This window comes from Homo sapiens, chromosome 6 (genome assembly GCF_000001405.40).
Source record: "Homo sapiens chromosome 6, GRCh38.p14 Primary Assembly".
Lineage (NCBI taxonomy): Eukaryota > Metazoa > Chordata > Mammalia > Primates > Hominidae > Homo > Homo sapiens.
The window spans coordinates 65,036,869-65,062,459 of NC_000006.12; the positions used below are offsets into that span (position 1 = coordinate 65,036,869).

A 25,591-nucleotide genomic window follows, 5' to 3' on the forward strand; every position below is an offset into this window, starting at 1 on the left:
AGTTAGTCCTGCCGTGGTTAAAAGCAGTTTGGAGACTTCTCAAAGAACTTAAAACAGAATTATCATTTGACCCAGCAATGCCAGTACTGGGTATATACCCAAAGGAATATAAATTGTTCTACCATAAATATGCATGCACATGTATGTTCATTGCAGCACTATTCCTAATAGCAAAGTCATGGAATCTATCTAAATGCCTATCAATGGTGGAGTGAATAAAGAAAATGTGGTACAAATACACCATGGAATATTAAGCTGACATAAAATTGAATGAGATCATATTCTTTGTAGCAATATGGAAGGAGCTGGAGGCCATTATCTTAATTGAATTAATGCAAGAACAGGAAACCAACTACTGCACATTCTTACTTCTAAGTGGGAGCTAAGCGTTGAGTACACACAGATGCAAATAAGAGAACATTGATAAGAGGACCTACTTGAAGGTCAAGGGTGGGAGGAGGGCAAGGATCAAAAAACTACCTATCAGGTACTAAGCTTATTGCCTCAGTGATGAAATAATCTATCTGTACACCAAACCTCCATGACACACAATTTTCGCACGTTATATACCTGCACATGTACCTTCTGAACTTAAAATAAAAACTGGAAAGAAAAAAGACCTATATGATAACTTTCACTTAATAAAAAGTAAATGTATTTTCTCTTCCGTATGATTTTCTTAGTGTTTTTTCTTTTCTCTAGGTTACTTTATTCATTGTAACAATACGATATTTATACCTATAACATACAAAATACACATATGTGTTAATCAACTGTTAATGTTATGGGTAAGGCTCCCAGTCAAGAGTTTGTTATTAGTTGTTAAGATTTAAGGAGTCGAATTTATACATAAATTTTCAACTGTGTAGTTTTAGCACCCTTAGTTCCCACATTGTTCAAGAGTCAACTCTATACAATCTTATCCAATCATCCAAAGTGTTAGGAATATTCTAGTATCATATGTAAATACATGCATGTACATATATTTATATTTATGTTTCTATGCCTGTGTATTAAAAAACATGAGTTTATACTCATATCTCCAATTTATAAACAATACCTCAGGGTGCCTTTTACTTCTCCTTTCCGTATTAGCAGTTCCTCCTCCAACAGTGAGAAACCTAGCTTCATTAATTTCAACAATATCTACAAATTTGCTCAAGTCAAGAATGCATGGCAAAAAGGTTTAGAATCACTAACCAAAACCACTAATAATTAATAATTAAACAAATCTAATAAGAAAACAATTTATCATCCTGTTCTTAGCTAAAATGTACACATAAGTGCATAATCCTAAACGTATGTAGATTAGATGGGTTTTAAAAATGCATACAGTTTTAAAACTCACATTTTTTAAAGATATAATACATTTTCATAAACAGAAAATTCCTTCTGTCCCCTTCCCAATCAACACTGTTACTTGGGGTAACAATTTTTTTAATGTTTTTCCTTATTTTTGAAATAAAAAGTGAAATCTTATAATAGGTCCCTTTTCTTTTATCTTTTGTTTAGCATAATATTTGAGAGAGTCTTATGTCAGTAGTTTGATCCTTCCTTCACTGAGTAATAGTCCATTGTACATACATATCACTAGGTCCTTATTTATTTTCATGTTGACAGATATTTTTTTGTTTCCAAATCTGGGTTACAATCAATAAAACTGCTATAAACATGCTTGTAAATGACTTTTTATAGAACAATATTTTCATTTCACTTGTTTATATAAATTGTTATTCTTAGCATAGGTGTATGTTTAATTTTAAATATAATCTGCAAAATGTTTTTCAAATTTTTTAAACTTTCATTTGATTCCCTATCAACAATTTTATCTTTTTACCAACAGTGTGTGAGACTTTGAGTTACTTCACATTTTCAATAATTTTTTTATTAACTTTAGTCTCTGGAGGAGTATTCACTTTTGGTTAGTTTTACATTTTTCTGATGATTAATCATAAGAATTTTTTACTTATCTTTCAATGAAAATATTTTCTCCAGTTATTTGCACACCGTTTTAGTGTTTTGTTTTATATTAGTGAATTATAAGCGCTGTCTGGATATATTCTGCTTTATGTCCTGGGTATGTGTTTGTAAGTATTTTCTCTCATGCTTATTCATTTTCTAAATAGTATCATTGGTGAGCAAAAATTTTAAATTTGGTTAGTCTAAATTATCATTTTTTCTTTAATGATTATTGCTTATTTTACATGTTCTAATACAAAAATTCCTACTCCTTGATAACAAAGAACTTCTACATTTTCTCCTTCATAGTTTTAGGTTTTACATAGAGAATGATGATCATCTAAAATTAGTGTCTTTGTGTATGATGTGAGGTAGAAGTCAATGTCATTTTTTCCGTATGAATATCTACCATTTCCACCATCATTTTTTAAAAGGCTTTTATTTTCTTATTGAATTGCTTTGGATATTTTGTTGAAAATAAATTAATTGTATAAGTGTGGTTCTATTTCTGAAATTTTTCACTTTCATTGATCAAACCGTCTTTTTATTTTTCAAATTAAACACTTTCTTAAGCTGTAAAATCAGATGGTACAATTTGTCAACTTTTTCTTGTATTTAATAGACTTATTGGCCATTATATGTTTATACATTTCTATATCTTAAAACACATGTCAATTTTTAAAAAAAACTACTTGCATTAGAAGAGGGATTACATTGAATCTATGAATTATCTTAACCACATTTATTCTTCCAGTATGTGATGTGATTACATTTTTCCATTCTTATATATTTAATTTCTCTTCGCAATGTTTTGTATTTTTCTGCATATTTTCCTTTTTAAAAATATTAACCATAAATATTTTATGGTTTTGCAGATTTTATAAAAAGATATTTTAGAAAGTTTAATTTATAATCTCAACCTAAGTCTTATGCTATGATGGAGGAAGACTTTTGGTATCTTAGTAAAAAAGGGTGTATTTTGCATGTAAGTGGAATATAAATAATCATTGCTAGATAGCAAAATGTAGTAAAAAGTAAATGGATAAATAGACAAACAAGAAAATAAATAAATAAAATAAATATTACCTCATTTTTGAATCTGGATGGACTCTGAAATGTTTGCACGATAGAATCTTGCAGAAGTGTTACTTTGCCAATTTTGGCCCACGGATCTTAAGAGACTTGCACTTTCTGATTCTTTCCTCTTAAAATAGTTGCTCCTTACCAGGTTCTCAACTTCACCATTAATGACACTTTTATCAGATAATTTTTAGTTGTATGAGACTTCGTTACTCATTGTAAGATGTATACAGAATCCCTGACCTCTACCTTGTATTTGTGAGGCTACGCCAAAAAATGGGTTGTGAAAACAACAAAAATTTATTGTTTCACAGTTCTAAAAGCTAGACATCCAAGACTAAGGTCTTGGTAAAGTTGATTCCTTCTGACAACTATGAGAGAGAATCTCTTCCATGTTCCTCCCATGTTTTCCAGTGCTTTGTTGATAATGTCTGTCATTCGATGGCTTGTAGAAGCATCACCCCAATCACTGCTTTCATCTTCATATGGAGGTCTCCCTGTGTGTCTGTGCCTAAATTTTCCTTTTTGATAAGGACATCAGTCATATTAGATTAGAAACCTATCCTACTCAAGTATGACTTCTCCTTAACTAATTACATATATTTGAGATGACTTTATTTACAAATAACATTACATTGTGATATGACCTCACTGAGGGTTAGAACTTTAAAATGTGAATTTTTGGAGGAAAAATTTAGCACATAGTATACTCACTTGATGCCTCTTTTATTCCTCCAGTCCTGACAACCATAAATGTCTCTAGGCTTTGCCAAATGTCTCCTGGAAAGGCAAAGTCATTTCTAGCTTAGAACCAATGTTCTAAAAAAATTTGATTACCCCCAGGTTGCCATGTTGTAAGGAAGCCCAAGCTAGTCATACAGAAAACTACATGGACAGAAGAGTGTTTGACCAATCCCAGCTGATCAAGTGGGATGATAAGTGGTCATTTTTAGATATTATGTAACACAGCTCAATCTCTGGCCACAATAACTAAGATGCTCAATAAGGAAATTAAACTCTTTTCTACCTATAAATATCTTATCACACTGGAATTCACTTAAAATCTAGAATAGCATTATTTAGATTAAGTCTGGATGTAGATTGCAGAATTGTAGATGAGGCTACTTTACTACAGTTTCTCTGTTTTCACTTTTGGGTACAGTTTTTCTTGATTCAGAGACTTACAAATTTAAGACGAGTTATCTGCTCATCCATATTCTCAATATGAAAAGTTAAGCAGAGACAGAAATACTACAACAGATAAACATTCTTAAAAAAGGAGAGAAGAAGAAAGGTATATAGCACAGATCAGTCCATAGTACTTCTGTGACCCTTCCTCTGCAAGCCATAAGTCGTGGCTCACGTTGCAGGTGAATAATTTTCTTAGCCAGCTTCCTGCCAGACACACAAATCTCTCAGAATTATGTTCTCTCTACCATGAGGTAAGAGTTAAGATATGTCCTCATGATTTAAAAATATATTTATCTACCTGAGGGGTCTACATTCCTCTGCCTTAGATGATTCTTAACAAAGGGTTTAAAAACCATGCACCCTTGATCTTGACCTGAACCCTACTTTTACTGGTAATGTCCTGGATTCAATAATGGCTCTGAGTCTATTTTGAAAACTTTTTACCAGCTGGAAGTCTGAAAATAAGAATCTTATTTATTTTCCAACACAGTACTCCTGTGTTAAAAATATTTTTTCTAAATTTTGGTTAAAAACAGTCCCATCGTCAACTCATCTCTTATTTCCTGTTTTATCATAGGCCAGTAAATGAAGCTATTTGGTAACTTCCACATTTTGTCCTGAAATCTTAGCCTAGTTAATAAGGTCATGCTGTATATTTTCTATCTTTCACATTGGCACAAGCAACAGTGATCCCAGTATTTGGTCAATATATAATACAGTTTCCATTTCTCCAGCTCCAGTACAAATTTCCTCACTGATCTTACAGACATCATTAAAATTTTCTGTTTTTGCAACCTCTTTCCAAAATAGTCTCAATGGCACAAAACTGTTTTATTTATGGTAGCATCTCACTTCTAGGTACTAATTTCTGTTTCAATTGTCTCTATCTGTAACAAACAACTGACTTAGAGACTTAACAAATAAAAACCTATTATTATTTCTCATGAATCTGCATATTGTATGCATGGTTCTGCTGCTCCACATTTTGTTGACTGGAGTTACTGATCAACTGACCCCTTCAGTATTATGATAATCATTTTTACTTCTGGTCTGGGATCTATTTGTTCTAATATGAATATAGATCATCACATTTTTATGCCTTTTTTTGAACAGTATATCTGTCTTTCTTGCAACTTATCTATGTCTTTATATTTACCTGCATTTCTTGTAGATTGAATAAAGCTGGGCCTTGATTTTTTTATCCAGATGAATAATCTATACCTCGGTTGGATTTTTGTCTAGTTCATTGACATTTTATGGAATTATTTTGATCATTGAATTTATGTTTACCATTTGCTTTTTGTAATTTGGCCTATTGTTTTTTGTTGTAATTTTCTTGCTTTCATTTCTGTTTTATTTTGGTTAAATATTTTTATTATTTCATTGATATAGCCATCCCTTTTTAAATTTTTTTTTACTTGTTGCTCTTTGGAATGCCTTTTGCATAATCCATTTAAATTTGCACTACTACACATATAAGAATTTTACACCAGTATGGTTCAATTTATCACATTTGCTATATTATTGTCATATTTGTTATGTTTATTATTTATAAATCCACCATTCAGCATTATAACATTTGTCTTAAACAGTTGCATGTGTTTTAAAAAATAAAAATTTTGTATATTCTAGTGTATGTGCCTACATATTTTTCATTTTCAAAGACTTCATGTCTTTCTGTAAGTTTCCACTTGGTGCTATTTCCCTTTATGCTGAAGAAATTCTTTAAGATTTTATTAGCTTAATATTTATTTTATTAAAATTATTATATATATGTTTACGAGATACTTTAAAACTACACATTTGGCTAACATTTTAATTTATTTCTGTTGGGAAGCACTGGCCTCGGTTATGTCTATGTAAACGTGAATGTGTATTAAATTTCCTGAGGGTCATGTGAAAATTCAATTTCTGATTCTATAGGACCGGGATGGCCTGAAAATCTAGATATCTTTTGATTTTATTCTACATTTTAAAATTACTGTGATTTTTTGTTAAATCATAACTGTATACATCATGGGGTACAATGTGATGTTTTGATATACGTATACAAAGTTCAATGATTAAATTGAGCTAATTAATATATCTATTACTTCATTTATCATTTTTTATGGGGAGAAATTTGAAAGTTACTCTTATTTTGAAATATACACATGTAGTAAGTGTTTAAAGCAAATTTTATAAGGGTGAATTGTGATGCTTATAAATAACATAACTAAGTGTAATAAATATGACAATAGTACAGCAAATGAAGTAAATGGGACTATACTGGTATATTATTTTTATATCAGTGTGTCATAGTACAAATGAACTCTAAATGGAGTATGTTAATGGTAATCTAAAGTACTTTATTATTCACTGTAGTTACACTGCTATGTAATAGATTTCAAATCTTATGCCTCTTTTTGAAGCTTTGTACCCTTTTATCAACAATTCCTAATTCCCTCCTGCGCCCCTCCTCCAGTCTCTGGTAAGCATTATTTTGCTCTCTGCTACTATGAGTTTAACGTTTTTAGATTTCATATGTAAGTGAGATTATTTGGTACTTTTCTTTCAGTGTCTGGATTATTTTATTTAACATAATGTTCTCCCTATAGGTTAATCAATGTTGTCACAAAAGTTCTTTTTCAATAATATTTCATTTATGCATATATATATATGACATTTTATTTATCCATTCTTCCATTGACAGACACTTAGGTTGATTCCATCTCCTGACTATTGTGAATAATGCTGCAATGATGTGGGCATGCAAATATCCCTTCAACATACAGATTTCACATCCTTTGCATACATACCCAGAAATGGAATTATTTGATCATATGCTAGTTATATTTTTTAGTTTTTTGAGGAATCTCCGTACCATTTTTCATGATGGTTTTACTAATTTACATTCTCAGAATGTGTAAGTTCCCTTTTTCCTGCATCCTCAACAAAACTTATTATTTTTCACCTTTTGATAATAATAAGAGCCATGCTAAGAGGAGTAAAGTGATATTTCGTTGTGGTTTTTATAATATTTGTATTTCCCTCATGCTTAGTGATACTGAGCATTTTTAAATGTATCTGTTTGCCATTTTTATGTCTGCTTTTGAGAAACGTCTGTTCAGATCCTTTGCCTATTTTTCAACCAGGTTGTGTGTTTTTTGTTATAGAGTTGTTTTTGTTCCTTATATATTTTGGATATTAATTCCTTATCATATGTACGGTTTGAAAATAATGTTTTCCTTTCTGTGGGTTGTCCTCATTTTGTTTGCTTTGCCATGCAGAAGCTTTTTACCTTGATTTCATCCCATTTGTCTAATTTTGCCTTTGTTGCCTGTGCTTTTGGAGTCATATACAAAATATCCTTGCCCAATCCAATTTTGTGGAGATTTTCCCCTATATTTTCTTCTAGTAATTTTACTATAGTGAAAATATTCTGAGGATGAAGTCTCTCTAGTAATAATTATATTCTTGACATCGTGCTGATATGTTGCATTGTCTCTGGATTCTGTTTTCTTCCTTTAAGCAATGATGTTATTTATTACAGAATGATGTTATCACATCTGAACTCAAATGCCATACCCCACCTCAATGTATTTGGAAGCAGCCACAACCACTCAGCTCCTCATACTTTCAGTGGTTGCTTCCACTGGGGAAAATTGAGATTCCCTATGTGTGTGTCATTCAGGCATTAACAAAGGATTTGTGCAATTTGTATTTTGGTACCCTTCCTTATGTGGTGTCCTTTCTTGAATTCCCCAGCCCCTTCACTTTTCTGCCATTCTGGGAGCCTCAAATTGTCCTGTGACTCTTCTACACTTAAAATTGCAGCTTTCTCCTATTGTTTTCACTGCCCATACATATCAGACTGAAGGTAGCCCTCAGGTGAAAAGCAATAGAAATACACATTTTACTCAGCAGAGCTTCTTTCTTTCAAAGCTTGACTCCTCTTTAATTTCTGTCTGCTTCTGGTAACTCTTTAGTGCCTTAAAACAGTTGTTTTCATGATCTGTTTAGAGTTCACAATTGTCATCTGAAGAATGGTTTGTCTATATGCTATTCCACCATTGCCAGAAGCCTCCAGGATTACTGTTTGCCTTTTTGTGTGTGTGCTCTCCTAAGTCCACAATATCTTAGATTTCTGAACACTCTGATCTTTGACAAAATACAATTTTCATAGTGCAATGTTTTCTAAATCATTTATTTCCATTTAACTCTGTGCTTCTCACTTGAATCAACCTCCCACTGTGATAGTTTTCCAAAACCTTGCCATTGTATCCTGCTATAGTCTGAATGCTTGTAACACTCCACAGCCCCGAATTTTTATGTTGAAATCTGATTTCCAATGTGAAAGTTTTGGAGATGGAGTCTTTGGGGGCATGATGACATTCTGAGAGGGAAAACCTCTCGAATAATTTCTGAGGTGTATAAGAAATTCGAGTCCTTATAAAAGAGACTACAGTCCTTATAGAAGAGATCCTTCATCCCTTCTGCCATGTCAGGTTACAGTGAGAAGATAACCACATATGAGGAAGTGAGCTGGTACCAGACACCAAAACTGTTTGTGCCTTGATGCTTGACTTTGCAGCCTCCAGAACCATGACAAATATGTTTGTTGTTTATAAGCCACTTAGTCTATGGAATTTAAGATATGGACTCTGAAATATTTGCTAAGAGGTTTAATTGTCCTAGAGGGTTTGGCTCAAGAACAGCTGTAGAATGGCTAGGGATGTAGCTGGTAGATGTAGATGTGTTTAGAATTTAACAATTAGGGTTAAACAGCTAGGGATGTAGTTGGTAGATTTGTTATAGCACTGCAAACAAACTCACCCTTTTGTTATTAACAACCTTTCTTATATTATTTATTGAATATACTTTTACCTTATTGCTTCATTAAAACCTGTTTCATTATTATTGCATCATATTCCTTTTGTCCCTCTTAAGCAACAGTTTTTTTCTATATCAATAAAACTTCAGACTCAAGAGGTGGGATTACATTCCCCTGGTTATTCATTGACACAAAGAACCTATTAATTTCTCTTTATTTCCTCAATTCTGGACTACTCCAACTTTTTAATTCTATGCAACTCCTCTTAGGCTACAGAGCACCAATAGAGAAAAATCACACAAGTTTGAAGACTGATGTCAAGAAATGTGTGAACTGGACTTCAATAGTGCCTAAATTTTTATAATGGAAGACTCTTCCAGGGAAAAGAGACAGAACCTCAGTAGAATCAACATTGGTACAGTGATAAATTTATTAGCTCAAGTAGCAAATCATGAGAGTAGAAGTGCATTCGGCTCAGGTACATTAGGGACTATAACTTTGCCATATCTGTTTGTCTTTTTATAGCTTTCCTTATTATTATTATGATTCTATCCTTCTATGAACTTTTTTCTTCCAACTTGAGGACTTCCTTTTGCCAGTAATTGTAAATTCATGTTTCATATGGTCAATGTCAAATAAAGTCTGAGCAACATTTTCCCAAATTCTTCATTCAAGATTCCAAGAATAATTTTTGATGTGGTTGAGGGTAGATATTAACTCTAGTCAAACTAGCAACTCCTAAAGAAAAATGTGGTTAGGAAAATCATTTTCAAGTGAAATAGACACTATCACCAGCATACAGGAAAATGTATATTCATTTAAATGTGAAAAGTTTTATACTCTCTGATATGGTTTGGCTATGTGTTCCCACCCAAAACTCTTGTTGAATTCTCAAAGTTGGGGAGGAACCTGGTGGAAGGTGTTTGTATTATGGGGGCAGATGCCCCATAAATGGCTTTCGTCACCCCTTTGTGATAAGTGAGCTCTCATTTTGAGTTCATGGGAGATCTGGTCATTTAAAAGTGTATGGCACCTTCGCCCCTGCCCCACTCTCTCTATCCTCTTGCCATGCAATGTGAAGTTGTGCTTGCTTCCCCTTCACCTTCTGCTGTGATTCTAAGTTTTCTGAGGCCTCTGCAGCCATCCCTCCTGTACAGCCTGCGGAACTATGAGTCAATTAAACCTCTTTTTTTTTTTTTATAAACTACCCAGTCTCAGGTAATTCTTTATAGCATTTTGAGAATAGATTAATATACTTTCCTTGAATTATAAATTGTTATTTTTCTAGTCAGTCACAGAATATAACCATACCTCCAAATTCCAGAGAACATGGATTTCATCAAATAACTCCCTCAAATTTCTACCAGTAAAACCTCTAGTCTTACCTATATCTCCATCCATACTTTGTATTTGGTTACTTTATTACCAAAGAACGACAGATTCATCACTGTTGATCTTGACAAAGTCCAATTTATTAATTTTTCCATTTCTGGATCCTGTTTTTTGTTTCAAATCTAAGAATTCTTTGAATAGCTCTAAGTCCCAAATATTTTCTCTTATGTTTTATTCTAAAAGATTTATGATTATATGTTTCACATTTAAATCTATGACCATTTATATTTAAGATGACATTTAATGTTATCACCAGATTTGTAGATTACCATCATACCACATTCCACTGCCCTCTCTGTTAATTATCTTCTCTACCTCCTGAAGTTGTAGTTTCTACTTCTGGTCTAACATCTTCCTATGCACACATTAGGATTACTAAGTGTGATTGGATCCTAGCAGGCAAGAGATGATGCAATTGAACTCAGAAATGTGTGGGGAATTTAATAAGGGACTACTTACAAAGTGCGGCAGAGCATGTGAAAACCACCAGAAATAGAATGAGGTCTTTTCTGCCACCCAGGAGCTGAGTGGAGGTAGCTGAGTGGATGGTGCTAGAACCTAAGGCAGAGGAGCTGTGTGGAGACCACTGCCTTAGGGAAGATAACCTGATCAGTGGAGGGGCATAGCCAGCTTGAGGCAAAACACAGAGGGAAATGAGGTGATAAATGTATTTGCATCTGTCTCTTCCTTTCCTCTTATTTCATATTGGGGCTCCCATTTGCCAAACTCAAAAGAAAGCATGGAAAATACAGGTCATGTAGTGTAGCTTCTTGGACACTGAGTAGATCTGAAAGGGTTAATGGAAGATAGCCATAGTCTCTTAAGCCCCATAACATTTTGATAAACAAATCTTGCTTTTGTCTCACGTTCCCCCTATTTAGCCTCGTTTCTCCTTACCACTTTTCTACCAAATATTTTCAAGAAGGAATCTAGTTTTACTATTGCCACTTTTTCATTTCATCTGTACAGTCCCAAATATATCATCATCAATGACTAAACTCCACTGAAAACTCTTCTTGTGAAGGTTACCAAGGCCACTTTAGTAATAGTTCTCTGGACCATTTTCACACCAAATCACATTGGACTGTCCAATCCTATTTAGGACTTTCTTACTACTTCTTCCTAATTGGAACTCTCCCATCTTTTGTGTTCATCTTTGGCTTCTCATTGTGTGTTCCTTTCCCGATCCAGCCTTTATATTTTAGTATTTCTTAGTAACCAATCCTATGAAAAAACTTGACCATTCCATATATACTTCTTTTTGACTGGTGATTTATAAAACGATAGTCCTTCTAGAACTTTCTCCTATGCTTCAGATGCACATACTAGGATTATTTAAAGGAAACCTTGATTTTAATAATTTACAATCTGACAGATTCAGTATGCTTGAAGCTCTCCTGATCTCCCTCTTCATTAAATGTGCTTCTTCCACTCCTGTTTCCCTAAAGCAACAATCCATTTATCCGACCTAGGAAACTGAACATCATTTTCTTTTTTTCTTACTTTACACATCTGAACACCACAACATTCTAACCTATTTTGTCTGTAACCTAAATATCTCCTGAAATTATCCAATTACCTAACTCAAGCCCTGTTTCCATACCTCTACAATAGACCACAGCTTGATTTCTGCAAGCAGTTAATTTTTTCTTTCCAGTGTGCCATAAGTAGATTTTAGGTGCCTTGTCACAAAAAGAAAAGTAACCACATGAGATGATAGATGTGTTAATCTGCTTCGCTATAGTAACCATTTTACTATCTATATGTATCCCATAAATCATGTTGTAAATCTCAAATACACAAAAGAAAATTAATTCAAAAGAAGAAAAAAATCAAATTCTACTTTATAATTTAGAATAATCTCCCCAAATTTATGTTTAATTTTCCCCAGATTAATGACTTCGCATTGCCCCTAATATTCCTTGGGTGACAGTTCTGGTTTGAATTCTGTTGAAAACTCCAGCTTCATGTTCTCAGAGTAATTTTAGCTAAACTGAATGTCTTTGAGGTCTTTGAATTCCCACAGGTTCTTTTGCCTCTGCTCCCTATTTTATTTAAATTTATTCCAGGAACATGTATAATACGAGGATATGCATGGCAGTTTAGCACTTATCAATATATACTTCTTTCAATTTAAAGGGAAAAGACCATTTTTCACATGCTGGGAAATAGGTAGTTGACACATTTGAATAGATTTGAACAACCTGAAAAGCATATATAGTGAAAAAGTTTAAAAGTTGAGGACAGAATGCTGAATAATATCACAGTTTAAGGGTGAGTATTGTGCTGGAAATGAAGAAAGGTACCCATTTAGAAAACAATAGCGTTGTTATTACTTTCCAATTTTTCAAAGCTTTCAGACCATTATGAATTCAATGCAAACAACCCTTCTCTGTGATTTTTAACTTAATTATAATTTTGTCTCATTGTTAGAGTGTCAGGAGTACATTTTCTCCTTTTGACAATGCAAATAAAAATGATTAGTATAAAACGTACGGTATAGTTAAACATTTCTCTAAGTTTACCAGACCTGTCATCCTATTGTTGCACATAATAGGTAACTCAGCTGGGATGGGCCGTACATTAACTTGTTGATAAAACCATATAATATGTTTATACTTATGGTCAATTACAGTACTTTTTCACTTGATATGCTAACTTTACAGAAAATATAGTCAAATATAATTACCCACCCAAATGGAGCAGTCAATAGGTTATAAAGGAAGAAGGAATAATAGGTCTGGTCCATTAACATGAAATAAAATTAAAATAGTAGAATTAAATACATGTTTGGCCAAGATATTAAAGAGCTTTGAATCTAAAATAAAAATAAGAGAAAGGAATAAAAGAAGCAAAAAAATATTTTGTTTTAAATGGTAGATAGAAATATTCACATCTTTCACTCAGGTTCCCTATATGCTTGCTGCCAAAATAACCTTAGCATGTTAGCACTTACAACGAACTAAAGGTAAGGATTTAATCACCAGGAAGAAGAACACAATACTGCTAATAAAAACCAATATTTGCTCCATATTTACTGTTTAATTGCTAGACAGAACAAATGAAAGACAAAATTAACTTCAACTATTTAACGAATCGTTTATTTTTTTTCTATTGGATTAATAACTTATTATGGACTCAGTATTTTACAGTTCATTCAATTTATTTGACCACTCCTCCAAAATAATACTCATATTGTCATTTTCATTAAAGAAATTTAACTGACTTTTGGTTAATATTCTAAATTGATCTGGACTTGACTTTAATACATTTCCAGAACATTAGAGATGGTTGTTTGGGTAGCCCAGCCAAAATATTTTATACTCCAAGAATCTTTAGTATAGCTGTAGATTGAGTAGACTGGAGCATTTAATTACAGCATCTGTAGATCCCCATTGTAGCTTGACACAAGAATGACTGAATATGGCCTGTGAAGGCTGAAAAACTAATTGCTCCATTATCTGCACTCCAGTCTTTTTCACTTCACAAGCACTTAAAAATATATACTTAAATCTGCTTTCTAATTACAAGTTCCCATAACAGAGTGTCCCTATCCAGAAAACAGCATTATTACTCTGGCTTTCAACACACTTAAGCATTTTTATTTTGCTGAGTTTTGTTCTTCTTTGTTTACTTTCTTTTGTAAACATGTTTAATGGCTAATTACCATTTCAGCTTTTTATATTAATTACTACACATTTAGAGACATGTGTCTTTAAATCTCTAGCAGATAAGACATTTGCTTTGCTCAAACATTATTTTCATTTTACTTGTCTATACGTAGCTTTAGCAGAATGACATTCTTATTAAGTACTTACTTTCTTGAGAATCAAGCAATAATTTATGACAAAGCCTTATCTTTTTTGCATTAGCTACTGAAAACTTTTATATTTTAGAACAAAAGAGTAACAACTTATTTCTCAGCATCAATATATGACAGAAATATAAGGACAATTGTTTTAACAGTGATATATGCAACATTATTTTCCCCCAGAACTCCTTCATTTAATGAAATTCAATATGTGCAGGTTTCATTTTATGAATTATAAAGTCATCAACAATTTAGTTTGATGCCAGTAAATTCACATTTAAAAATCTGAATTGTGCATCATACTTTATTTTTAAATTGACAAATTAAAAATGTATATATGTAGCATTCAATGTGATGTTTTGATACATGTATACATTATGGAATGGCTAAATCAAGTTAATGAACACATGTATTACCTCACACACATTTTGAGGTGGTGAGAACACAAAATCTAATCTGTAAGTAATTTTTAAGTATATAATACATTGTTTTAAACTATAGTCATCATGTTGTACAGGGCATCTTGAATTAAATAAATTCTCCTAACTGAAATTTTGTATCCTTTTACCAATACCTCCTCTTGGATGAACCTGGAGGACATCATGTTAAGCCAGGCACAAAGAGACAAATACCGCATGATCCCACTTATGTGTGGAATCTAAAAAAAGATAAAGTCATAGAATCAGAGAGTTGAATCATACCTTTCTGTAGGTACTAGCATTAACTTCATATAGATTACAGTATCACTGATATATTAATAGGCAATATTAATATTAATAGGCAATTTGAGTATTGTGGTCTTTTCTACCCACTAAGAAAGCAGCCCTATTCCTGAAATGCACTTTGCTTCTTTAAATACTTCATTGGTAAGTAAGACACTTCCTCAATTTTGTCAGGAACAACATTTACATGGTAGGCAGTTATCTTCTCTTTACTTCCATTATATTTCATGGACATTAGTTTTAGAATTTAAAACTGCTGATTGGGTAAGGGTTGCCTTATTGGTTAGCACTGATTATAATATATTTTAAGGAAATAGTTATAACTATGTGAAAAAATAGCATTTTTCACATACCCAACCCCATTTAGTTCTGGGGGAAAGATGAGTAAGTGTGCTTAATCCCAGGTGTGTGTGTTTTTATGTGTGTGTGCATTTATGTATGTGCTTAATAATTACTTTTCTTATGTAGAAAGAAAATTTATACTTTGAGGCAGTATTTAATCTCATTTACTTTACACTCAAAACATAAAATCCCCTACTTAATACATTTTGTATATCAAGACAAATTTATACAAAATTCATTTTTGGAAGTGCTGGGCATAGAGGGCTTTTAATAAAGAGTGCCTCAGAAAGCCATCATTGGCCATGACAATAGACACGTTAATGACAACAGTGCTTATTAGGAATGACTTCCTCATATCTTTTTGTTTTAATTAAAATAGAAAATTGTGGTATCCGAACATGGAAAATATGTATGCAGTCTGGATCCTGCTTTGCTACATGAAAAGCATGAGGTTTTGTTCAGGTATATTATAATAATTATATCAGGGAAAGTGAAAACTCATTTTTACATATTAAAATTTTTGTTCATTTCTGAAGAAAAATTAAGTCCACAGTAACAGAAAACCAAATAATACCCTTTCCTTCAAAAAGAAATACGTATTTGAAATTTATTTGCTAAGTTCAGTTTCTAAGACTAGAATTTGAAAGGGAGCCAGATTAAATCAAAGCCAACCACTTACGCCAGTGGATGAACACTTCATGGAAAAAGAATTGTATTAAGGGATTTATTTTCCACATTTATTTGTTTTTTAAAAAATGAAGAAAAAAGATTCTACAGATATCAAAAAATATACAGCATTAATAACATTTTGTATGAAAGCTATGCTATTTTTGGAGGATCTGTAATTTTAGTACTAGAAACTAACATGCATAAAAACACTGCATTATTCAGCTCTGCAGAAGTAATTACACCAAGATTTTTCTAATTATTTTCTATTGTTCCCATAAATGGACTATATAATCACAATTCCCTTTTCGGACAAATACCTTTTTCCAGTATGTGCTTTAAAAAGTTATAACTGGTAATAAAACGTAACTTCTATAAATGGCAAAATGTTTGAACTAGGGTAAATTCTCAGAAAAACACTCAAATTCTCAGAAAAACACTCAAGGTGCCATATCTTACAATTTCATGTATTTGCTAAACAGTCACTGTACATATTCTTTACATTTTCAAACAAATTCATAAATGCATAAACTCATAAAGTTATGTATTATTATTATGCTACACATTTTACTCAAAATGAAACAGTTATGAATCTAACCTAGTACAATGGGGTAAGAGTCATCTACTTCTTATATAAAAAAGATAGACATCATTTTATCAAAATATATGTTCATGCAAATAAGCATCTAATAGACAAAACTTGGACTATATCAACAGAAAGCCACAATTAGCTCAAAAAATAGGTTATAGGTTATAGTTTGATCATTTTCTACACCAGGGGCCAGCAAATGTTTTCTATAGAGGACCAGATAGTAAATAATTTAGGATTTGCAAGCAAAGAGAACATATACTCTGTACTTGCGTCTGAAGCAGCCATCCACCATACATAAATGAATGAGTATAGTCGTGTTTTTGAGAGGCACAAAACAGGTAAAGGCCTGGATATTCTCCCACAGGACATATTTTGCTAACCTGTATCTATTGAATTCCAAACAAGTAAAGTTATCAAATTAGTGAATCAACTAAAAATTTACCAACTTAATCTTGTGATTTTAATGTGTCATTCTGGAGTTACATTGTTTATGTGTACTATTTTTCTTTCTTTGGGAAAAAGACTGTGAAATCACTAACAGGCTCAGAGCGAATTTAATCAGAAAACAAAGAGTTTCTAAGTTTTACAAATAGAAATTATTTGAGCTTTTTGCATAGAAACTGAACTCATAGATGGATTATATATACACTTTTTCAAAAATTGTATTTATTCATAACAATAAAAAATTCAATTCTAGTGAGGTATTCAAGGAAAGTCTTTCCTATTAGCATTCAAAGGTTAATTCTTAACAATGCTGGTTGCTGTAAAGAACAAAGTACCTTAACCTTAGTGGTGTAGCACAATAACAACTCATAAATTAATTTGTTTATCTCTCAGTATAATAGGGGTATTCCTGGTCTGTGAACATCTTTTCATATAAGAATTAGGGACCTATACTCTTCCATCTTCTGGCTTTTCTCTAGTTTTTCAGGCAACTCCAAGAAGAATGTAGAAGAAATGAAAAAGTTAAAAACTGTGAGATATTTTTATGAACCACATTGCAAGATAAAAACTACTATTGATTTTCTGTTGGTCAGAATTCATTCACGTGGTCTCATCTACATACAAGATAATTAAGCCTGTGCCTAGTAGCAAAAGAAAAAGATAAACATGTAGCCATCTTCTGATATACCAGACATGTTTCCAGCTGAAAGATGTATAAGAATATAAACTGAATTAGAATGTATTTATGTCTAGGATAGGGTGTCTACAGTATAAATTTATGTGATGTGATTTCCAGAAAAATATTATACATTATTAGGTATGTGCATTTTAAAATAATTTAACCTTGTTTTTGCTTTTTTGTTTTATGTATGTACAGTTCCATTGAACGTGTTAATGTACCATATAAAGCTAAGGCACTACCATTAACTGAAGAATCCTTTTCACTATAATTCATAGATTAAAATATTTAGTATTTAGTATATGAAGGTTAAAATATTTATGATTACCTAACATTTCTATTCATGCTTTGCAAATTCTGTTTTGTTTTAATGGAAAATATTTTGGTTTGGTTTTGGTTTTAGGTTTTCTTTTGTTACTGTTTTTTATTTGTTTATTGTATAAATGGGGTCTCACTTTGTCACTCAGGCTGGGCTGCAGTGGCACAATAATAATTCACAGAAGCCTCAACCTTATGGGGTCAACCAATCCTCCTGCTTCAGCCTCCTGAGTAGCTAGGACCACAAGCATGCCACCACAACTGGCTCATTTTTCCTTTCTATTTCTTAGAGACAGGGATTTGCTATGTTGGCCACGCTGGTCTAGAACTTCTGGCTTCAAGCAATCCTTTTGCCTCAACCTCTCAATGTGCAGGGGCTACAGGTGTGAGCCACTATGTCCAGCCTAATGTAAAATATTTTGAATCAGAAATTATTTGCAATTGTTTATTTGTAAATTAAACTTTTATTTTAGAGTAGTTTTAGATTTACAGAACAGTTGCAAGGATAGTACAGAGAGGTCCTGTATACTCCATAACAAGTTTCCCCTGTATTAATATCCTATGCTACTATGGTACATTTGTCACAACAAATGAACCAATATTGATGTTATTAACTAATGTCTGTACTTTATTTGTATTTCCTTAGTTTTAAGCTGATGTCTTTTTTTCTGTTCCAATATCTCTTCCAAGATACCATATTACTTTTAGAAGTAATATTTCCTTAGGCTTCTCTTGGCTTTGAAAGTTTCTCAGACTTTTCTTGCTTTTGATGACCTTAACAGATTTGAGAAATTCTAGTCAAGTATTTTTTAGAATGTCTGTCAATTGGGATTTGTCTGATAATTTTTTGATGACTAGACTCAGAAAATGTACTTTTGAAAGGAAGATGAGAGACAAAAAGTGCCATTCTCATCATTTCATATCAAAAGTTTAGGTTATTAACACGGCTGTGTATGTTGATGTTAACCTTGGTCCTGTAGCTCAGGTAGCAATTGTCAGACTTCTCCACTGTAAAGCTGCTCTTCCCTCCATGACCCCCTTTTTACATGCCATACTCTTTGAAAGCCAGTCACTATCTGCTGTCCAAATTTAAGGGATGGGGAGTTTTGTTCCACTTCATTAAGTTCAAAGTACCTACATAAATTATTTGGGATTATTGTACAAAAAGATGCATCTATTACTTCTCATTTATTCATTCAACCATACATTTCCATTAGTATGGACTCTTACATATTTATATTTTGGGTACCAGCCAATATTCCTTTATTTTGGTGCTCAAATCATTCTAGCTTTGATCATTGGGAGCTCCTTCCATTGGCTCGCTTTGACTTAATCTCAGACTTTTGTGTTTAAGTACTTCCACATTTTCTGGCATTACAATATTATTCATGCTATATTTCATGCTTTAGTCCTAAAATAGCTAGATCTCTAAGGAGATTTGATTTTTTAAATTGAAGAATGTATGAAAATCCAAAATCTGGGCAGTAGAAAAACAGCTATTTTTTAAATGAAGTCTACCAGCCTGGGCAACACAGTGAAACCCTGTCTCTACAAAAATACAAAAACTACCCTGATATGCTGGCATGCACCTGTAGTCCTATCTACTCAGGGGACTAAGGGGAGGATCACTTAAGCCCAGGAGGCAGAGGCTGCAGTGAGCTACGATAGCACCACTGCACCCCAACCTTGTTGACAGAGTGAGATCCTCTCTCAAAAAATAAAAAATGAAGTCTAATATTTTTACCGAGATTACTTAGGCCATTCCCTCTGTATCTTTAAAGATGTATGATTAAATAAGTATGAATTGATATCCCACCTGCCCAAGCATGATAAAATAGTGTCTATTATATAAATATTACATATTTGTTAGAACATTGTTGGAAATTATAATTAAACAATTATTATTAATTTTTGGCAGACATTGTGGTATTTAAATAACATTTCTCATTTAAATTACATTCAACTAAATGAGCTAGATATATTCTTATTGTCATTTAACAGTGAGAAAGTTATAACTTAATGTGTTTAAATGGATGTAAAAATATTTGAAGTGAGGCAAACAATCTTACATTTTTCATAAGTAATTATAAGATACCTTTTTAAGGTAAATAGGTATAACATTAAAAAAAATCTAAATTAATTTTATTTAGTTGAACAGTTTCAAATTTCTTAGCTTAGAAAGAGATACTAAAGTTCAAGGAAGTACTCAATGAATTAGTATCTATATACTAGTTGCAATAATATATTAACATATTTATAAGGCAAAGCAAGGATTTGTTTAGTTTATGGAGAAAAAATACAATTCCTGAACTGAAGTTGAAGAAATACCATCAAAGTTGAACACTGAAAAATTAAACAGATGATTAGCTTAGAAAGAAGAAGAGAAAACTTGACAATTTCATAAGAAATTAAATAATACAGAAGAATATTTCAAATATAACATGCTAGGCTGGTAATATATTCCTTCCTTACTTTTTTATTGTATCTTTTGGTTTCATTGGTGACCTTTCAAATAGAAAAATAAGAAACTCAACTATTTTAGTGTGTATGTAAACAAAACTAATTTCACTCTAGTTTCTGCCTAAGGAATAATTGGTTGGTCACTTTAGAAGCTGACTTTAAGAAAATGAAGGACTAATAATGTTGTTGGAAGACTGAAATGAGTTCAGACAAGAGACAGAAGTGCTTTTTAAAGTTAATTATGTTTGCTTTTCCTTATCCCTTGGTGTTCATTACCTTTAAATGGAGGCACACACTGGCAGAAGTAATTACCAGGTTGGTCAATGCAGGTGGCTCCATTTTTGCAGGGATGTGAAGCACACTCATCTATATCAATTTCACATTGCGTACCTTTGGAAAATAGGAAAAAAAAATGTTAAGTGTTAACAAGACAGGCATGTATCAAGTCGTAATTCTTAAATTTGCACAAGCCTTTAATCCACTTAGGATGACATCTGAAACCAAATTTATTAGATAAGAATGCCACATATATTACTATCAGAACCCATTTATTTCACCTTGCTACAAACTGTAGTAACTTCTCTTAGAATTACTAAAAGGACACTAATCTCTTCTGAGTTTGTAGGCATGCAAAGTCTCTTTAGATGTGAACTAATTTATCTTTTGCTAGAGAGTCTAGAGATGGTGCAGATATTTCAGGTTACTGAAATGCAGATCAAATGTTAGGTGAAAGGAAATAAAAAAGGAACGAAAAGAAAATATTGGTGAATCAATAACATCCTGATGTATGTCCCTGAGGGCTGAATGTTATTTGTTCATTTGTTTGTTTTGGAGAGGGAATCTCGCTCCGTCTCCCAGGCTGTAGTGCAGTGGTGCGATCTTGGATCACTGCAACCTCTGCCTCCCGGGTTCAAGAAATTATCCAGTCTCAGCCTCCTGAGTAGCTGGAATTACAGGCACACACCACCATGCCAGGCTAATCTTTGTATTTTCAGTAGAGACAGGGCTTCACCATATTGGTCAGGCTGTTCTCGAAATCCTGACTTCAGGAGATCCACCCACTTTGGCCTCCCAAAGCGCAGGAATTACAGACATGGGCCACTGAGCCTGGCCCTAAATGTTCTTTATAAGGCACAGTTATTGAGTACTATTTACTAATAAAGCCATGAGTAATGGGTAGATGCATTTCAATCTACTCATGATCTTTGTAGATATAATATTATGGTGCCAGGGTGATGAATTACTTTTTTTCTAGTAATTTTACAACGTAAGCCTATATGGAAAGAAAACAAATAAATGTCCATTAACTATATAGTCTTAGCATTTTCTTTAAACTGTTGTCCAATTCATATTTTCATTCATCCTCCACCTAGAACTTGTTTTGCTAAAGCTGACCTTTCTTATTATACCACTTAGATTGCTTAATTTCCCAACAGTTGAAAATCATAGCCTCAACTGACACTGAATTGATTTTTATCACTTATGACAGCTAATTTTCTTACCAATTTATAACAATAATAGAAAATTGACATTGACACAATGCAAATTATTAGCAAATTATTTGAATGGAAACATTCCTTCTTTTTTTAAAAAAATTCTGTAAAACAGTAACATGAATTTAGAAAGAAGAAAACCTACATCAAATTAATCTAATAGGAATCAACGTACTGGACTAAATAGAAAATATCACTATTATCACTGACAAAATGAAATATTTAGTGAATACCTGACACTAGAACATCAGGGTAAGCTGAGAAAAAAAGTGAATATTAAAAAGAATTATGTGAGTGAATGAAAACTTTTTAAACCTTAAATATATTAGTTTTTTTAATGAGATAATTTAATTTTGTGGAAATTGAGAACCCTACTGTCAAAGCAAAAGTTTAACCAGAAAAAAAGTTAAACAATCAGGAAAGATTTTATTGAAGGCTATTGCAATCAAGGAGAGAAGCCAAAAATCAGTCTGAGTTTGACTCCATTGTAACAATGGTTGAGAGTTTTTAAGAGCTGGGGTAAGAGAGCTCATAGGTCATATGCATTTGCTATTTAGCCTTAACAAAAAGAAAATTAGATTTGTTTTTCAATCTTCAAGTTAGGAGGTAGTATTACAACTTGGATCAAGGTGCATACCAAAGTTAGTCTCCTACCCTCCTACAGAGACTGGGAGATTACATATGCTATCTTCCTTACACTTCAAAGGGATGGCTCCCAGGTCCTTGAGAAAGATAGTCTTGGGTTCCTAAATGAACAAGAGGCTTTTAAAGATATTTATACCCCAAAGAGGCAAAGAAAGAATTTATAATTATTGGGTTCTGAAGTAAATTCTCTAAGAAAATGAAGGGGAGGAACTTCTGTGGTTAGATCATTTAGATCCTGTAAAGAGGTAACAAGAGAAGCACCTCAGGAAGAAACCTGTTTAAGTTTAGTCACACTGAGGGAAACCTGTTTGTCTTGTGACAAATACACTTTGTGGAGATTCCTACAGTCCTCAAGTTCCCAAAGACTGGAAGGAGGAAAGAAATAATGAAATATTAATTTATAATATTAACATGATACTCTTCTAAATTTCTGGTGAAGTTGGAGAAACATGGGTCACATTCCTGCACACAGGGGAATCAATCACCCTGTCCCTCTCTAGGTTACTATTCTTAAATATGTCTCTGTGTCTTCTGATCCCAGCTTCCCCTTATCAACCTGAATGTCACACTGCCATGAGCTTGTATTTCTAAAAGACAAATGTGATGAAATAGCTAACAATTTCAGCCTTCAATTTCTTTCCACCCCTCATCCGTATTTCCCAAACTAATCTATTAGAGCAATCCTAACTAATGAGGATAAAGAATTTATGATCTTAGACATCAGGAGGGTTTGACAAGACACCTACAAGGAAGACTTTTTTTTTTTTTCAAATTTGACACTTTAAATTCATGCAAATCTTGGATTTTGCATCATATTTTATCCTCATTAATATATAACACATTCTATAACACAATACGTATACACCCATAGGGAAACTTGACAGTCCAAGATGATTCTACAATCACTGTTGTGACTTTCATGAAGCTTTAAATTCATCCCCTAAAGTACAGTGCTTTAGCAGGAGAAATACAAATTTAGAGGATGATGTAAAAAACTCACAGCATACTTTACAGGAACATCATGGTCTGTACCTAGCCTTCCTTCTTGGTCTTCTCTCTCTTATCCTTCCCTGTTTCTTGTTCACCCTCTTACCCAAGTAACCACAATGAATTTTTAAATGCCTGTGATTTTGCCTGGGAATACCTGGTTTCCTTTTAAAACCTGGATCATCTCAGGTATCCTCTGCCTATTCTTTCTGGGTACAGGTTAGCACAACACTTTTCTAGTGTTTACACCTTCTTCTGCAGTCAGTTGCATATATAAATACATATATATATATGTGTATATACATGTGTATATATATGTGTATATATATATATATATATACACACACATACATATATATGTAATTTCTTTAAAATGTATGCTTATGAAAATATTTTCTAGTATCCATGGCTCTTAGAATAGCTACTGTCTGATATTAGTGCTCAAAAACCATTTGTTAAATGAATGAAAAATTAACAGACTAAATGCAGAAAAATGCCAATGATACTGTATCTGTAAAGGACAGGTAATCATTTTCAATCCTGTTTAGGACAAATCATTAACAAAATAATAAAATTCCAAATGATGTAATAAATATCATAAAGATTGCCAGAAACAGATTTTGCGACTGACTCTTCAATTTCAGAGTGTGTTCCACATGATTTGGCAACAATAGGCCACATTTAAGGTGTACATGTATATAATTTTAGAGCTTTTATTGCCAAAATGTAGATTGAATTTAAATGAGATTTCAATTTGATTCAGTGAGCTGTAGTAAAATTTCCACTTATTTGACAAATAAATTAATAAGCATAAGTAGTTTGAACACATTCAATAAAATAGCATTCATGTATCCTTTTCAAAAGTTTCTGGGCAGACAAATTAAACAATCAAGCATTCTACATCTCATTATTTTAAAATAGACTTTAATTTTTAAATAGTTTTAGGTTCACAGCAATATTAAGCAGAGGGTACAAAGATTTCCCATATACTCACTCCACACATGCGTAATCTCTCCCATTATCGACATCCCCCACCAGACTGGAGACATTTGTGACAACTGATGAACGTACATTGACTATCAGACACTTCATTTTAAAATAAGTTTCATGTGTTAATTTCTAAATAATCATATTTTTTCTTCCTCATGTATTTCTAGGTCTATGTTTCAATTCCACCTAACACACACACATACACACACACACATATACATTTAAATTAGTTTTCCTTTTAATTGTTTAACTGAATTTTAATCTGTTACTTAATGATATTTACTTCCATCATATTCCTCAATTGCTTGCACCATCTGGGCTAAATCACACTGTGATCGTTTTCTCCTCATAGGAACCATCATGTAGGAATCATCCATTGACCAAAAAGCAATCCAAATAATTAGAGTTCTGTTTCATGCATAGTATCTCAAACATTCTATGCTTTCTTTACTCTGGGTTTTCTGTTTCTTCTTACTCTTTATTTTTTTGTGGTCTGTCCTAAATCCTGAATTTGCTTCCTGTTTTCTCCTGTCCATTGGATGTCACCTTTATTTTTGTTTATTCATTCTTTCATTTGAAATTATATTTTTCTACCTATTCATGTAATTGAAACCATCAACTGATTTACAGAAACCTCAACCGTATCATGCCCTCTACATGACAGACTCCCAAATCAAAATTTCTCCAGTCCCAGGAACTCCTGGCTTCAATGCCTAATTAAATATTAGTTGACAACACCACTTGGACATATTCTAGGCATCTCAAATTCAACATGGGCAAACAAAACTCTCTAAGCAGCTCTACCTTCCTTATTAACTGTGATAAATAACAAAACCCAAGAGTTATTCTTTATTGTTCCTCACCCTCCCTGAATTATTAGTAAATCTTTGCAACTTTATGTCTAAAAATGTACCAAACCTGTCTATTTATCTCCATCTCTATTACCAATATCTAGTCTAAGTATCCCCATCCCCAATGAGAACAAGAGTTGCTTTAACTGTTTTTCT

At 32.7% G+C, this 25,591-nt stretch overlaps 1 protein-coding gene across 2 annotated transcripts in view; it reads right to left on the reverse strand.

Annotated features, from left to right (window-relative positions):
• EYS (eyes shut homolog) overlaps positions 1-25,591 on the reverse strand; it is a 1,987,247-nt gene that overhangs the window by 1,316,889 nt on the left and 644,767 nt on the right. For both annotated transcript variants that reach the window (NM_001142800.2, NM_001292009.2), the window contains exon 13: positions 20,746-20,859. In NM_001142800.2, the coding sequence (NP_001136272.1) occupies positions 20,746-20,859 (114 nt within the window). The remainder of the gene's footprint in view (positions 1-20,745; positions 20,860-25,591) is intronic.